The sequence below is a fragment of the Homo sapiens genome, chromosome 3 (assembly GCF_000001405.40).
Source record: "Homo sapiens chromosome 3, GRCh38.p14 Primary Assembly".
In the NCBI taxonomy this organism is placed as follows: domain Eukaryota; kingdom Metazoa; phylum Chordata; class Mammalia; order Primates; family Hominidae; genus Homo; species Homo sapiens.
In genome coordinates this window covers 72,050,807-72,067,794 of record NC_000003.12, presented here as the reverse complement: position 1 = coordinate 72,067,794, position 16,988 = coordinate 72,050,807, and the positions used below count along the sequence as shown (strand labels likewise).

Below are 16,988 nucleotides of genomic sequence, written 5' to 3'. Positions count from 1 at the left end.
TCGGGGATGGAAATTAGGAGGACTGCCAAGCACTTTTGGACATATTTTAAACCACCAAAGTTCTGTCTTGTGTGTGTGCCAGAGAAACTTCACTCCCTAAGACCCTGATGATATTGTTCTTCCAACTCTATCTTCCCAACCTCACCCCTACTAGATAAATAGTATTTAGCCTATAACTTTTCTCTCCTTCTGTCTTGTATAATTTATTCTGAGCACAATGTGGCCTTGCTTAAGAAAACCTGAACATCAAAAATACTCCTCTTTTGCTGCTTTCAAGTTTTTAACTCCCTTGGTAGTAATTGGCAAATCTTCCCTTCCCCACCTCTTAGGTAGTCCATTGCATGAGGATAGGGTAAGGGGAAAGTAGAGGTTAAAATAAGGGATATTTTTTTCTTTAGCCCTTTGATATGGTTTGGCTGTGTCCCCACCCCAATCTCATCTTGAATTCCGACATGTTATGGGAGGTGCCCAGTGGGAGGTAATTGAATCATCGGGGCAGGTCTTTCCTCTACTGTTTTTGTGACAGTGAATAAGTCTCATGAGATCTGATGGTTTTTAAAACGGAGAGTTTCCCTCCACAAGCTCTCTTTACCTGCTGCCATCCACATAAGATGTGACTTGCTCTTCCTTGCCTTCTGCGATGATTGTAAGGCCTCCCCAGCCACGTGGAACTGTGGGTCCAATTAAACCTCTTTCTTTTGTAAATTGCCCAGTCTCAGGTATATCTTTATGAGCAACATGAAAACTGACTAATACACCCCTTTAGACAGATGAACCACTTTATGCACCATTGCATCCAGTGGTAGATTGTGCAGAAATATTCCAGGACCAGGCTGGCCAGAGGATGGCCTTCTCAAATAGCAGCCAGCATATGTGATCAGAGGGATTTTGACACACAGAAAGACATCCAGGGATGCATGCACACAGAGAAAATGTGTGCACACAGAGAGGACACAGTGAGAATGTGGCCATCTGCAAGCCAAGGAGAGAAGCCCCAAGAAATCATATTTGCCGACACCTTGATTTTGGACTTCCAGCTTCCAGACTATGAGAAAATAAATTTCTGTTGTTTAAGTCACCCAGTCTGTAGTATTATTTTACGGAAGCCCTAGCAAGCTAATATAGCTGTCAATGTAAACTCTCAAAAGTAAATCAGATCATGTCACTCCTGTTTAAAAATCCTTGAAGGGCTTCTCACCGCACTTAGAATAAAATCTGCACTCCTTAATGTGGGCTATGTCAGCCAGTCACTGCTTATCTTTTCAACTCATCTACCACTAAGCTTCTCCAGCCCACAGTGCTGCAGTCACAGTGGCCTTTCAACAAACTGTCCTGCAGTCATGCCACGTTCTTTTCTTCCTCATGGCCTTGGCATTTGTTGTTCTTTCTGCCTAGAAGCCCTACCTAGTGCTTTTTACCTAGTTGGTACTAAAATCATTCTTCAAGATACATTAATAGTTTCAAAATCATCTCCTCAGAGAGATCCTCCAGACCACCTGTGGAGTCTGTTCCCCTCTCCATGCATCTAGGCTGGCCTCAGTGACTCATTTGAACAGTCACATGCAGCAAAAGTAAACTATGGAGACGTTCAAGTCTAGATTATATCAAGATTTGCAGCTTCCACCTTGCCTCTTGGAATACTAACTCTGAGAACCCAACAATCACACTGTAAAGAAGCTCAAGCAGCCACATGGGAAGTACTAAAACCCATGGGTGTCAGGCAGTCGAGGCTGAGTCTCAGCTCACAACCAGCACCAACTTGCCAGCCTCGTGAATGAGCCAGCCCTAGCTGAGCCTCCCCAGCTGACACTCCATGGAGCAGAGATGTTTGTTTTGACCATTAAGTTTTGAAGTGATCTGTTACACAGTAATAGATCATAAGAACACCACTTTATGTAACATACCACCCTGACTGATTAACATCTACTGCACCATTGTTTTATTCCCTTCATAGCACCTGCCACAATCTGAAATTGCCACATTTATTTAACTTCTTTATTTCCTATTTCCCACCACCACTAGAATATAAACTCTACGAAGGCAGGCAACCTGGCTTTGTTATTCATCACTAAATCCATAATAGAGTAGATGCTCAATAAAGACTGACTGAATGAATAAATGAAGGAGTGAAAAAGTGAATTAATGAACTCACTTCAAGCCCTTGATTCAGAATGATAAGGGAAGGGGCCTCTTCTGCCTAGTTAAATCAATACAGTTGACAAAATATTGAATCAATGATGTCCTCAGCCTCCTTGGTTTGCACTGGGCTCTTCATTCTTCTGCAGTGAACACTCTTTCCCCTATAGTCACATTCACTTGGCTTGGAATTTGAGATCCATCCAGTGAGGAACAGTTCACTCGAATAAAAGAATCTTGTTTCTGAAGAGCTGTGAATGAACAAAGGCCTGGAGCTCTGTGGCACTGTGGAAAACCAATGAACCTGCTGCCTCATTCTCTTTTAAAGGGAAGTGCCATGTTTGCATTTTCATCAGAACTTCAATTTTACCCTCTGTATCTCTTACCTTTTCTTTCCCTCTTTTCTCCCTCTCTCTTTTCCTTTGAATGCATAGAATACTAAAAAGATTAAAAGGCCTTGGAGTGTATGGAATGTACCTACAGGGTGATATTAATATCAACATCCTAGAAAGAAAACGGACCCAAATGCAGACCCATCTAAGTTGATTTTGGCAAAATGAGGTGCCAACCTTTGAAACTATCAAATCCTCCCCTCCTGTAGAATTTCTCCACCACTGACAGGACACATATTTCTCCTATCCTTGCCCTGCAATATCCCTTCTAAAACTAGATAGATAGATAGATAGATTATAGATAGATAGAGAGATAGATAGATAGATTATAGATAGATAGATAGATTATAGATAGATAGATAGATAGATAGATAGATAGATAGATAGATAGATAGATATGGTTTGGCTTTGTCCCCACCCAAATCTCATCTTGAATTCTCACGTGTTGTGGGAGGGACTTGGTGGGAGGGAATTGAATCGTGGGGGCAAGTCTTCCCCATGCTGTTCTCATGATAGTGAAAAGTCTCACAAGATCTGATGGTTTTAAAAAGAGGCGTTCCCCTACACAAGCTCTCTCATTTTTTGCCAGCTGCCATCCACATAAGTTGTGACTTGTTCCTCCTTGCCTTCCACCATGATTGTGAGGCTTCCCCAGCCACATGGAACTGTAATTCCAATTAAATCTCTTTCTCTTGTAAGTTGCTCAGCCTTGGGTATGTCTTTATCAGCAGCATGAAAACATACTAATACAGTAAATTGGTACCAGTAGAGTGGGACACTGCTGAAAAGATACCTGAAAATGTGGAAGCGACTTTGGAACTGGGTAACAGGCAGAGGTTGGAACAGTTTGGAGGGCTCAGTAGAAGATAGGAAAATGTGGGAAAGTTTGGAACTTGCTAGAGACTTGTTGAATGGCTTTGACCAGAATGCTGATATGATATGGCCAATGAAATCCAGGCTGAGGTGGTCTCAGATGGAGATGAGGAATTTGTTGGGAACTGGAGCAAAGGTGACTCTTATTATGTTTTAGCAAAGAGACTGGCAGCATTTTGTCCCTGCCTTAGAGATTTGTGAAACTTTGAGCTTGAAAGAGATGATTTAGGGTATCTGGCAAAAGAAATTTCTAAGCAGAAAAGCATTCAAGAGGTGACTTGGGTGCTGTTAAAGGCATTCAGTTTTATAAGGGAAGCAGAGCATAAAAGTTCAAAAAATTTGCAGCCTGACAATGGGATAAAAAAGAAAATCCCATTTTCTGAGAAGAAATTCAAGCTGGCTGCCGAAATTTGCATAAGTAACAAGAAGCCGAATGTTAATCACCAAGCAGTGGGGAAAATGTCTCCAGGGCATGTCAGAGGTCTTCACAGCAGCCCCTCCCATCACAGGCCCTGAGGCCTAGGAGGAACAAGTGGTTTCATGGGCATGCTGTGTGCAGCCTAAGGACTTGGTACCCTGAATCCCAGCCATTCCAGCTGTGGCCGAAAGGGGCCAACGTAGAGCTCAGGCCATGGCTTCAGAGGGTCCAAGCCCCAAGCCTTGGCAGCTTCCACATGGTGTTGAGGCTGTGAGTACACAGCAGTCAAGAGTTGAGATTTGGGAATCTCTGCTTAGATTTCAGAAGATGTATGGAAATGCCTGGATGCCCAGGCAGAAGTTTGTTTCAGGGGTGGGGTCCTCATGGAGAACCTCTGCTAGGGCAGTGTGGAAGGGAAATGTGGGTTCAGAGCCCCCACACAGAGTCCCCACTGGGGCACTGCCTAGTGGAGTTATGAGAAGAGGACCACTGTCCTCCAGACCCCAGAATGGTAGATCCACTGACAGCTTGCACCGTGTGCCTGGAAAAGCCACAGAAATTCAACACCAGCCCATGAAGGCAGCTGGGAGGGAGGCTGTACCCTGCAAAGCCACAGGAGTGGAGCTGCCCAAGACCATGGGAACCCACCTCTTGCATCAGCATGACTTGGATGTGAGACATGGAGTCAAAGGAGATCATTTTGAAGCTTTAATATTTGACTGCCCTGCTGGATTCTGGACTTGCATGGGACCTGTAGCCCCTTTGTTTTGGCCAATTTCTCCCATTTGGAATGGCTGTATTTACCCAATGCCTGTACCCCCATTGTATCTAGGAAGTAACAAATTTGCTTGTGATTTACAGGCTCATCGGTGGAAGGGACTTGTCTTGTCTCAGATGACACTTTGGACTGTGGACTTTTGAGTTAATGCTGAAATGAGTTAAGACTTTGAGGGACTGTTGGGAAGGCATGATTGGTTTTGAAATGTGAGGACATGAGATTTGGGAGGGGTCAGGGGCAGAATGATATGGTTTGGCTGTGCCCCCACCCAAATCTCATCTTGAATTCCCATGTGTTATGGGAGGGACCTGGTGGGAGGGAATTGAATCATGGAGTCAAGTCTTTCCTGTGCTGTTATTGTGATAGTGAATAAGTCTCACAAGATCTGATGGTTTTAAAAAGAGGCATTCCCCTGCACAAGCTCTCTCATTTTTTGCCAGCCACCATCCACGTAAGATGTGACTTGCTCCTCCTTGCTTCCATCATGATTGTGAGGCTTCCGCAGCCATGTGGAACTTTAATTCCAATTAAAACTCTTTCTTTTATAGGTTGCTTAGCCTTGGGTATGTCTTTATCAGCAGCGTGATGATATACATACATACATATATATATATATATAGAGAGAGAGAGAGAGAGAGATAGATAGATAGAGTACATAAATAGATACATAGATAGGTGTAGACAGATAATAGAAATTTCTTCCACTCTCTTTCCCCCAGGATAGATTCCTTTCCCCAAAAGTCATTTCTGCACCCAAAACAGAGACACCAAGAAACTGCTTGATGTTGGTGGTTTTGAGTTGGATTGTGTGTCTGCCCAGCCAGTCTTGACTGGTCAAGTTGGAACACATGGGACAGGAGAGGGATAGGATCCCAACATTCACATAGAGCCTGACTTCACTGCTATGCCTACCAGCCAGCCAACAGAAACCAAGAGAGAGGGATTTGGAGCCATGCCTTTCCAGGGATCTATCCAAAGGCATTTGTAGGTCAGGGTCTGGAACAAGTTGCCATCTAGGCCAACCACCTGTGACTCAGCTCATTCCAACATTTTAATACGAGTAATACCTGGTTAAAAATGAACACCAGAAATGACTGAAAGGAATTCAAGAGCCAGGTGTCAAAGGGCAAGAATTAGCTTATTCCCTCTTGACATGGTTATGGCAAGAGGTTTATTAACCTAGTCTGCCATGGCAGACATTGTCAGGACCCTCCTGTACCCCGCATTCTTACCACTTTTATGCATACTGGCCTGACTTCCAACTGCTGGCATCTCTGTTTTTTTGCCTGGGAGTTTCTCTTCCTGACGGAACCCCCCCGAGAGCAGCCCTCAACCAATTACTAATGGGATTGGGTATATAAATACCCTAGCCCCCTCACCCTTGGAGCAGGATACCTCAGAGGCACATTTCTACACTGAATCCTAGAGTTTCCTCAGTGGGACTAAGCTCTAGTCACCCACAGGAGTAGCTAGCTTGAAAACATACCCTTTATTAACTTTTATCCCTTCCTTCTCTTCACCTTGACCTGCCTCCTAATGTCCCCTTCCTTCCCAAATCTCAAACTGTCTCCACTCTAATCCTTGTCTTACAGATGATTTCTGGAGGAACCCAAACTAACACAGCTAGGTATTCATTCACAAGCATCCCTCCAATTCGTCCTATATAGCAAAGGCTGTGGCCCATACCTTAGGGGCTTTAAAACCTAGCTGGCAATACCAGTTTATCCAGTCAAGACAATACAAGACTCTATGTGTTAGGAGCTCTGTCAGGGAGCCCCTGTGTCATATACAGAGAGAAAGAGCAATGACAGCAAAGTTGTCCAGCCAACTGCTCAGCTGGAGCCCCATGGCAGAGTCTTCACCTGGGTCTTTATCTATGTGCATCCAAAATCTCTCCGGGAGAGATGCAACTCTGTAAGCTGACCAGCATGGAGATATGGTTTTAAAAAGCCACATTAAAGACTCACATTGACCATGCCCCCAAGAGTCTGGGATATAAATCAGAATGCGAATTGTGAACTTACAGTAAGTGAATTTATGCCAGCTGCCAGGCAGGCTCAGGAACACTAATATAGCCTTAGCAGCATTTCTCCTCCCCCACAGGAAAGTGCCTGGTTGAAGCTAGCTTGCAATCCCAAAGTCAGAAGGTTGCCTGGGAAGCCATGAAACAAAGCCAAATCAAGGCAAAGCAGACACATGGAGATTTTGAGACTGAGAAGAGGAAAACTGAGGACATTCATGTGAGATGGTTTCAAGTTTCCCTTAGAAGGAGAAGTTATCTTCAGAAGGTCAGGTTGGTGAGGTGGGAGTTCAAAAACAACAAAGTATGTAGCTACCATTGTGAGGAAGACCATGGAAAATGGACGAATCAGAATGAAAGGCTTTCTGAACAAGAGTAAGTACCCCCACTGATGTGGCTTGGTGGTATCACCACCCAAATCTCATCTTGAATTGTAGCTCCCACAATTCCCACGTGGTGTGGGAGGGATCTGGTGGGAGGTAATTGAATCATGGCGGGGGGGGGTCTTTCCCATGCTGTTCTCATGATAGTAAATAAGTTTCACAAGATCTGATGGTTTTATAAAGGGGAGTTTCCCTGCACAAGCTCCCTCCTGCCTGCTGCCATGTGAGACCTGCGTTTTGCCTTCCACCATGACTGTGAGGCCTCTTCCCCGGCCATGTGGAACTGTGAGTCCATGAAACCTCTTTTTCTTTATAAATTACCCAGTGTCAGGTATATCTTTATCAGCAGCGTGAAAACAGACTAATACACCCGCCTTTGCCACCACCCACATTAAAACAACTTTAACTTCAACCTAGTCAAAGTATATGGGCTTCCCAATCAGGCAGATTCACGGTTTCATTCTACTCCACCAGATATTAGCTGTGTGTGGATGTTAGTCTCTGGGCTTTGTTTCTAAAATGTATGTAATAATGCACCAGGTTCTAAAATCCGGTGAGAATTCTGTGAGATTATGCATGCAAAGTGCTGAGCATGGGGCCTGGCTCATAGAAAGTATCAAATAAGTGGTAGACAAGTTGTCATTTTCACTTGTGGTTGATAATTTCCACTTTTGCCTTTCTGCAGCCCAGAGACAGAAGCAGATAATGCAAGTGTCATCTACATCTGGCAAAAGCCAAAGGTTTGGAAGATGGAAAAAGGAATCCAGGCAAAAAGGAGCCCAAGATTGAAGTGAATGACCAGGTGCACCAGTTCAAATGCAATCAGGAGGGACAGGGGTAGAGGGAGAAGCCTAGAGCAGCGCTTCTCAAACTGACTATTCAAGTCACCTGGAGATCTTGGTGAAATGCAGACTCTGGTGCAGTAGGTCCTGGCGGGAACTTGAAATTCTGCATTTTGACCAAGGTCCAAGGTGAATGTCCAGTGCTGTTGTCCTTGGCCTGCAGCAGGAGGAGCAGGGATCTAAGACTTGGAGAGCAAATGTCAAGCTCAGAAGAAAGACTGGAAGTTTGGGGACAAAACCCAAATATGGCTAAAGAAAGCCTGTAGGTAAGCTTTGAGTTGTATTTTCCATCGCATCTGAAGCTGTGCTGGCCAACATGGTAGTCACTGGCCCTGTGTGGCTATGGGCTAGTCCTAATGGACATGTGCTCTAACATGTAAAATACACACTGGATTTTCAATACTTGGTACCAAGAAAATAATGTAAAATATCTCAATACTTTAAAAACATTATTGCATGTTGAAATAATATTTTAGATATATTGGGCTAAATAAAATATACCCATATTACTGAAATTAACATCACCTGTTTCTTTTTACCTTTTCTTTTTTATTTTATTTTTATTTTTATTTTTTTGAGGCGAAGTTTTTGCTCTTGTTGCCCAGGCTGGAGCGCAATGACATGATCTCAGCTCACTGCAACCTCCGCCTCCCGGGTTCAAGCAATTCTCCTGCCTCAGCCTCCCGAGTAGCTGGGATTACAGGCGACTGCCACCACGCCCAGCTAATTTTTTGTATATTTAGTAAAGATGCAGTTTCACCATGTGGACCAGGCTGGTCTTGAACTTCTGACCTCAGATGATCCACCCGCCTCAGCCTCCCAAAGTGCTGGGATTACAGGCATGAGCCACCACGCCCAGCCTACCTTTTCTTTTTAATATAGCTACTAAAAAAATTAAAATTACATTTGTGGCTTATGTTAAATTGAGCAGCACTAGTCTAGAAAGGGTTTCTCTCTCTCGCCTTCTCTGAGCTTCTGCCCAAAACCCCACTCTCAGCAATTCCTGTAGTGTCCCAGGGAAAACTCTAGAGAGGTTTATTGCTCTGAAGGGGAGACAGGCAGGACTGTGCGAGGGAGCTGTTTGGGAGGAACAAGGTAGAAACATGCCAAGTCATTCTCTGCAACAGAAGAGCCATAGCCATGGGGCCGGCTGGGAGGCCTGGATCCTGGAGATGCCAGCCTGCCATGCTCCAGTGCCTTCTGTCTGGGCCTCGTCAGTCCTTTCTCATGTTCTCCTTCCTATCCTGGGCGACAGGTAATTAGCAGGGCCAGCTGGCAGCCTCCACCGGGCACTGCCGCCAGAGAGCCGGCAGCCGGCCTGCAATTACTGTAATCCTGGCTTGGCCTCCAAAGAGAGCTCTATTCAGCAATCCCTCTGCAAATTGGCTTGAGGTGATGGGGCTTGTAATCTGTACATTCTCTGGGTGCCTCCTGGCAATGAAAGGCCTACAGAAGAAAGTCTCCAGTGTGCCTACCTGCAGCAGACTTCCTTTGGTAAATAACTGGGCAGCTGGGACTAAGTCTTTGCCTGTTGGTGGCATGGAGGGGTGATATTTGAAATGTCTCACCCAAGCCATATATTCCCAACGGTTTTTTTTTTTATGTGTTCCCAGTATCTCCTCTTTCCAGAAAGCGTTTCCCAGGACGAGCAGCCAGTCCTTCTAACTCCAGGAAGCTTGTACAGGGCAGATCCCAGGCACCTCTGAAATGTGTTAAGAATAACTCTAGAAAATCCATGAACTTTAGTTCCATGAAGGTAGTCTGGCCCTAGAAGGGAATGAGAAGAAAGGCTACTTTATGAAATGGAAACTGTCGGCAAAGACAGGTGGTAGCAAGTGCAAGGCATGCTGGGCTGAACAGACAAAGGATGTGCAAAGAGACTGCAGAAAGGTCCTTATTTTCACTGGGCTAACCCTTTAGCCTCTCAAGCTTCAGTTTTCCCATATGCAACACGGGCATAATAGTAGCATGTATTTCACAGGGCTGCTGTGAGAATTAAATGAGACTTTCTGTGTAAAGGGTTTAACATGGCAAGCACCCAACAAATATGAGCATTAAAAGCTAAGTAAAGTAACATATAAGGGAATGAACCTGAAGAAGCTAGACAGATGGAATGCATGTAGACCTAGCCTGAGAGAAACTTCCAAATTGGAGCACTGAGATTTAGATGGGGCGGGGGTAGGGAGGGGTCTTTTTAAAGGAACAGTCTCTCCTTTTTAGGAGAGGAGTGAGAAAAGGTTCTCTTGGAGGCTTAGTGGGTGAAGAACCCTCACTGCCGGCACAGCAGTCTGTGGTGTGGTTTGGGGCCCAGTGACATCATTTGTAAGGTCCAGTGCAAAATAAAAACACAGGACCCCTTGTTCATAAATCAGGATAAAGGTGCAATCAAAGGAACTGAAATAGAAAACTTTGTCCACTCTTCTACTGTCTGTCTCTTTGTCTCTTGTTCCTTTTCTCTCCCCAACTCCTGTGTTTTTATTTATTATTTAATGTGCCATCTCCTCAGGCAAAGGAATACTCACGCAGACAGTGTGACTGTCACAGGTACTGGGAATCCTGTGACGCAGTACATGCCAGCCCTCAGCCCCACCTGCTAGGCTCCCGCTCCCAGCAGCCACCAGACTGACGCCCGCACCCCAGCCAAGGGCAGAGAAGCCATTCTCTCCTTCCTACTGGCCAGCTACCCCAACCCACAGTGGACAGGCAACCCTCAAGGATTGCAACCTCCATGCTGGGCACACTGGTATGGGTCAGGTGGGCAGAGGCTTGCGCCTGCCAAGCTGTGTACCAGGCATGCCGAGGTGCAGCCATATCTTGCTCCTGATGCTACTAAGTGCATGCACCCAAGTTCACTCTTCCCATGCCAGCGCCTAGGCCTCTCTTGGGGCTGGAAGGCAGCATCAATCATTGGACGATGCTTAGGGACACCTGGTGGTGTCGGTGGCTGTAGTCACTGGGGGAGTGGCAGAGAGAGAGAGAGAGAAAGAGAGGCCAAGCAGTATCAGGGTGTTATGGGGCACAGGAGCGAGTGACGGAGAACTCATCCTGGGGAGATGACGAGGTGGAAAGGCAGCAGCAGGACAGCTCCACAGTCCCATCAAAATCGGCTTACAAAACCCAAAAATCAAAGGTATAATTATTAGGAGTTTCAAGGTGACAACTCTGGAGCATTAATCCCCAAATGTGGGCCTCTGAGCCAGGTTCTGTACCACTTCACTACTTGTGTGCATATGAAGCAGGCTCTCTGGAGGGTCATGGCTGTCTTGCAGTATTTCAACACCATGTTTCCTATCCCAAGTAAAGCCTGGGATTCAGACCCCAGCTCTACCACTTACTAGTTTCAATCATGTTGGGCAAGTCTTTTAACCTTCCAAGACTCAGTGTCTGCATCTGTAAAATGGGATTAATGATAGAACCAACTCTTAAAAGTTGTTGTGAGGATTGAAAAATTATGTAATAGGGCTTAGTGTGATGCTTTAATGCATTCTCTTCATATAGCATAAAGCAAGACCTTAAAAACTGTTAGCTATTGCTAGCAAAGTGACTTTTTAAAGGGAGGCATGCTTCTCCCAGTTTATCTCTTGGAAAACTAATCTGTCACACTTTTCTGAGCTCAGAGATCCTCTGTTTCCCTTCTTCCAGTAGGTGGTAAGTGGCTGAATGAGACAAAGCAATAATGGGCCAGGGGTTCCAGGGTAGGATCTATATCTGCTTTTGCCAAGCAATAGATCCCCCAGTGCCTAGCCTGATTCCTGACTAGTAGGAGATACTCAATAAACGCTTGTCCAATTAATGAAAGTCTGGATGGATGGATGGATGGATGGATGCATGGATGGATGGAAAGATGGAAGGAAGAGATAGAAGAAAGGATGGACAGATGGAAGAAAGAGATCTTTTTTTATGGTTTGAATGACTCTAAGGTCATTCCCAGCTGTGACAAGCCATTATGCTATTAAGTCACCTTCATTATTTCCATTTTTTCCCATGAAGGATGAAGTTGGAAGTTCCAGAGCCTTCTCTTCACATAATGGGACATGCAAGGGGGAAACCAAATCAAAAGTGTAGAATGCGTCGCTGGATGTCTTTGACATGGTGAGGTCTTGTTCCTAACGGAGCTTTTCCTCTTGGTCACATTACCTCTGAAGGTATCTAGGGCCCCATACTCTATTCCGGGGGTGCTGTGGCCCACATGGGTCTGCATGGTCAGACAGTGGCTAAAGCAAATTCTCTGGCTGCAGAAGAGCCTCAGTCCTTCTGTCTGATTGGCTGGCAACATGACCATGAGTGTGCCCTAGCAGATGGCCATGAGGAGGACAACTGGGCACAAACTGGGCAGCCATGTGGCACTGGGATGAATGGCATCACTCCCAAGACCTGGAGCCTCTTGATCTCACTTAGCTCCTGTCTCCATGGTCCCTCTTCTTCCTCTCTCCTTCAGGGGTGGAGTCTTAATTTATCTGACAGCAGAGAAAAAATGTGTTCTGCAGGTATATGCACTATGATTTCTGCCTTAAATTTAAGCAAGTGGATTTTTAAAAACTCGGTAGTCAGGAATTTGCATCCCTCTTCCTGCTTTGTTTTCTTCTTTCCCCCAAAGCAGTGGGTGACTCTGTCCATCTGGGCCAGGGAGGAAGAGCTCCAGCCTAGGGATCGCTTCTCAAATTTTAATGCTCACATCAATCCCCTAGGGATAATACAATTAAACATGGCTCAGTGAGGGAATGAACTCTGAGAAATGTGTCATCAGGTAGTTTTGTCATTGCACAAATATCACAGAGCAGAGTCCAAACTCTTACATAAACCTAGATGGCAGAGCCTACTACATACCTAGGCTGTATGGTATGGCCTATTGCTCCTGGGCTACAAACCTCTATGGCATGTGACTGTACTGAATATTGTAGGATATTGTAACACAATGGTAAGTATTTGTGCATCTAAACATATCTGAGCATAGAAAAGGAACAGTAAAAACACAATTTAAAAGATTTTATAATGGGACACCCGTATAGGGCCCTTACCATGAATGGAGTTTGCAGGACTGGAAGTTGCTCTGAGTGAGTCAGTGAGTGAATGTGAAGACCTAGGACATTATTGTACGCTACTGTAGACCTTGTACACATTGGACGCTTAGGCGACATTAAATCTACAAAAGAATATTTTTCTTTCCCTTGGCTTACTATATCTTTTTTATTACTATTTTATAAACTTTTTGACTCTTATGTATTAACACTTAGCTTACAACACAAACACATTGTACAGCTATACAAAAATATTTTCTTTCTTGGCAAGGCATGGTGGCTCACACCTGTAATCCCAGCACTTTGAGAGGCAGAGGCAGGAAGATCATTTGAGGTCAGGAGTTCAAGACCAGCCTGACCAACATGGTGAAATCCCATGTCCACTAAAAATAAAAAAAAAAAACTTCTTTTAATCTTTCTTCATATATTCTTATTCTATACAGCTTTTTTCTATTTTTTAATTTTTAAAATGATTTTTTAAAAACTAAGGCACAGGCCAGGCACAGAGGCTCATGCCTATAATCTCAGCATTTTGGGAGGCCAAGGTGGGCGGATTACCTGAGGTCAGGAGTTCAAGACCAGCCTGGCCAAAACGGTGAAATGCTGTCTCTACTAAAAATACAAAAATTAGCTAAGTGTGGTAGTGTGCAGCTGTAAACCCAGCTACTTGGGAGGCTGAGGCACGAGAATCTCTTGAACCTGGGAAGCGGAGGCTACAGTGAGCTGAGATTGTGCACTGCACTCCGGCCTGGGCAACAGAGCAAGATTTCATCTCAAAAAAAATAAAACAAAACAAAAACAAAAACAAAACAGGGCCAGGCGCAGTGGCTCACACCTGTAATCCCAGCACTTTGGGAGGCCGAGGCAGGCAGATCACGAGGTCAAGAGATCAAGATCATCCTGGCCAACATGGTGAAACCCCATCTCTACTAAAAATACAAAAATTAGCTGGGCATGGTGGCATGCGCCTGTAGTCCTGCTACTCGGGAGGCTGAGGCAGAAGAATTGCCTGAACCCGGGAGGTGGAGGTTGCAGTGAGCCGAGATCACACCGCTGCACTACAGCCTGGCAACAGAATGAGACTCCTTCTTAAAAAATAAAAATAAAAACAACAGCAACAACAACAAAAACTAAGGCACAAACACACATTAGCCTAGGCCTACACAGGGTCAGGATTATCAATATCACTGTCTTCTCTTTCCACACCTTGTCCCACTCAAGGTCTTCAGGGGCAATAATACACATGGAGCTGTCATCTCCAATGATGACAATGTCTTCTTCTGGAATACCTCCTGAATGGCCTGCCTGAGGCTGTTTTACATTTAATTTTTTTTAATAAGTAGAAGGAGTATAATCTAAATAACAATAAAAATATAGTATAGTAAATTCATGAATCAGTAATATAGTCATCTGTTATCAAGTATTCTATACCGAGCATAGTCATATACACTATCCTTTTATACGACTGGCAGTGTAGATTTGTTTATTAGTCCATTTTCATGCTACTGATAAAGACATATCTAAGACTGGGCAATTTACAAAAGAAAGAGGTTTATTGGACTTACAGTTGCACATGTCTGGGGAGGCCTCACAATCATGGTGGAAGGCAGCAAATCATGCCTTACATGGATGGCAGCAGGCAAAAGGAAAGCTTGTGCAGGGAGACTCCTGTTTTTCAAAACCATCAGATCTCTCAAGACTTATTCACTATCACGAGAACAGCATGGGAAAGACCTGCCCCCACGATTACTTATCTCCCACCGAGCCCCTCCCACAACACGTGGGAATTCAAGATGACATTTGGGTGGGGACATAGCCAAACCATATCAGTTTGTTTACACCAGCATCACCAAAAATATATGAGTAATGCTACGACGTTAAGGTGCCTACATCACTAGATGAAGGAAGTTTTCAGCTCCATTATAATCTTATGAGCTCACCGTCATAAAATTTGACGTCATAAGATTTGAAGATAAGATGTTTGGCCTGTGGCCAAAACATCATTATTCAGCACATGACTATACTCAACTGCAGTTTCTGACTCAAGAGGTGTGGAGCAAGTCTAAGATTCCAGATTTCTAACAAACTCCCAGGCAATGCCAATGCTGGTGGCCCAGGAAGCTCTCAAGCCCACTTTGGGTTTTTTTTGTTTTGTTTTGTTTTGTTTTGTTTTGTTTTGAGACAAGAGTCTTACTCTGTCACCCAGGCTGGAGTGCAGTGGCATGATTTCACCTCACTGCAATCTCCACTTCTCCGGTTCAAGAATTCTCCTGCCTCAGCCTCCCAAGTAGCTGGGATTACAGATGTGTGCCACCATGCCCAGGTAATTTTTTGTATTTTTAATAGAGATGGGGTTTCGCCATTTTGGCCAGGCTGGTCTCGAACTCCAGACTCAAGTGATCCATCCGCCTCAGCCTCCCAAAGTGCTAGGATTACAGGCCTGAGCCACCACGCCTGGCCTCACAGTCTCACTTTGAATAGCAAGACTTTGTGGAAGACAGAGAGAGAGAGAGAATCCTAAAAGGGGAGAGCAAGGAAGAATAAGCACATCATCAAATATTTCAAAACATTCTTGTACTACACACAAGCTTGAGTTCTAGGAACAAGTCTGAGAGAAAAAGGGAAAAGGGTGGGAGGGTGTTGGGGAGATGTGCAGCCAACTGGTCTACTCCTCTGCTTTTGCTCCAAATTGAGGCTGAAAACCAGATGGTGGTTGGTTTGTTTTCAGCAGTTCATCTTCACAGCCTGGGGAGGTCATAGTCTAAGAAGGGAGGGAAACTGAGGTATTGTAGCCATGGAGCATTTTCTCATCCTCCCAGATTACCCTTGAGAGGCAGGATGGGAGCTGCCTGTGGTCCCCACCCTGGGCTCTCCTTTAGACTGAAAACAAATGCTGGCCTCCTCCTGGTCCACCTGCCTGTGGGCTGGAAAGCACTCTCTGCCCTGGCTGCTCACACATACAGCATCCCCAGTGCTCTGGGCTAATTGGACCTGAGATAGGGAGATGACTTCAGGCTTGGAGAGGCATTTTTCTCTTCCTTCTTGGCAAGGATCCAGGACCAGGGGATCATCGAGGACCACAGAAGAGAGAGGCGAGAGGGCCCTTGAGCAGCCAGCATTCACAATTCAGAATGTCTAGTGGGCTTGGGCTTTGGAGCCACCAGAGGGATGATGGCATCTTTCATAGGGTTCTTGTTATCCTTTATTTTACAAAGCACAGAGGCAATGACAGCCCCAAATGGATTAGATGCTCAAGAGCCCTCCTGGGCCACTTTTCCTTCGTCCATCGGGATCTTCAGTTCAAAGGCCCACAAGTGTCTTTGCTCAAATCCTTTCAAGCCAAACTCTAGCCAGCCCTCTAAATCCTTCCAAAGAAAAACGGAGGAGGGCTTAGGAGAAGACTATACCCACTCAGCTAATGAATGATGTCTTGGCTTGCCTGCCTAGGCAACAATCTAGGGTCAAGGATTGCAAGCCCAAATGCCTACAAGGGCTAGGCCGGAAATGCAATGAGCCAGGAGGGGTGCATATGAAGAAACCAGGAATGGTGGTGTCAAAGGGGCAGCTTTGGCTGATTGTTGCCCTGTGGGTTTATGGACACAGCCTTCCCAGATCCTAGGTGTTGGGGGACATTCTAAGAAAGCAATGTCTTAAAATAATAATAACAGGTTTTATAAAGCATGTACTGTGTGCTAGACACTGTTCTAAGCACTTTACTTGTTTTACCTTACTTGCTTCTCACCATGACCTGGTGATGAAGTACTGTAATTTTCCCCATTTCACAGATGGGGAAACCAAGGCACAGGGAGATGAAATAACTTACCCGAGGTCTTTCGGCTGGCAAAATGACAGAGCTGGGATTTGAATCTAGGCAGTGTGGCTCCAATTCCACGTTCCTAACCACCATGCTCTATCTACTGCTGGCCAGAAAAGATCCTCCCACATGATCCAGTCTTCAAAGGCAGCAAAGGCACGTGCAAGCTTTCTTGTGCTTTGAATCTCTCTGACTTTCCTTCCGCTATCAGACAGGAAAAACTCTACTTTTAAAGGTTTCACCTAATTGGGTCAGGCCTACCTGAATAATTTTTGTAATTTAAGGTTGACTGACTTGCCACTTTAATCCCATCA

At 45.0% G+C, this 16,988-nt stretch overlaps 1 long non-coding RNA gene across 1 annotated transcript in view; it reads left to right on the top strand.

Moving 5' to 3' along the window:
* The window catches only part of LINC00877 (long intergenic non-protein coding RNA 877), a 64,937-nt gene that overhangs the window by 32,661 nt on the left and 15,288 nt on the right, over positions 1-16,988 (top strand). Inside the window, exons 3-6 of the long non-coding RNA NR_104116.1 lie at positions 6,701-6,992; positions 7,184-7,285; positions 7,686-8,108; positions 11,833-11,934. This is a non-coding gene — a long non-coding RNA (long intergenic non-protein coding RNA 877). The remainder of the gene's footprint in view (positions 1-6,700; positions 6,993-7,183; positions 7,286-7,685; positions 8,109-11,832; positions 11,935-16,988) is intronic.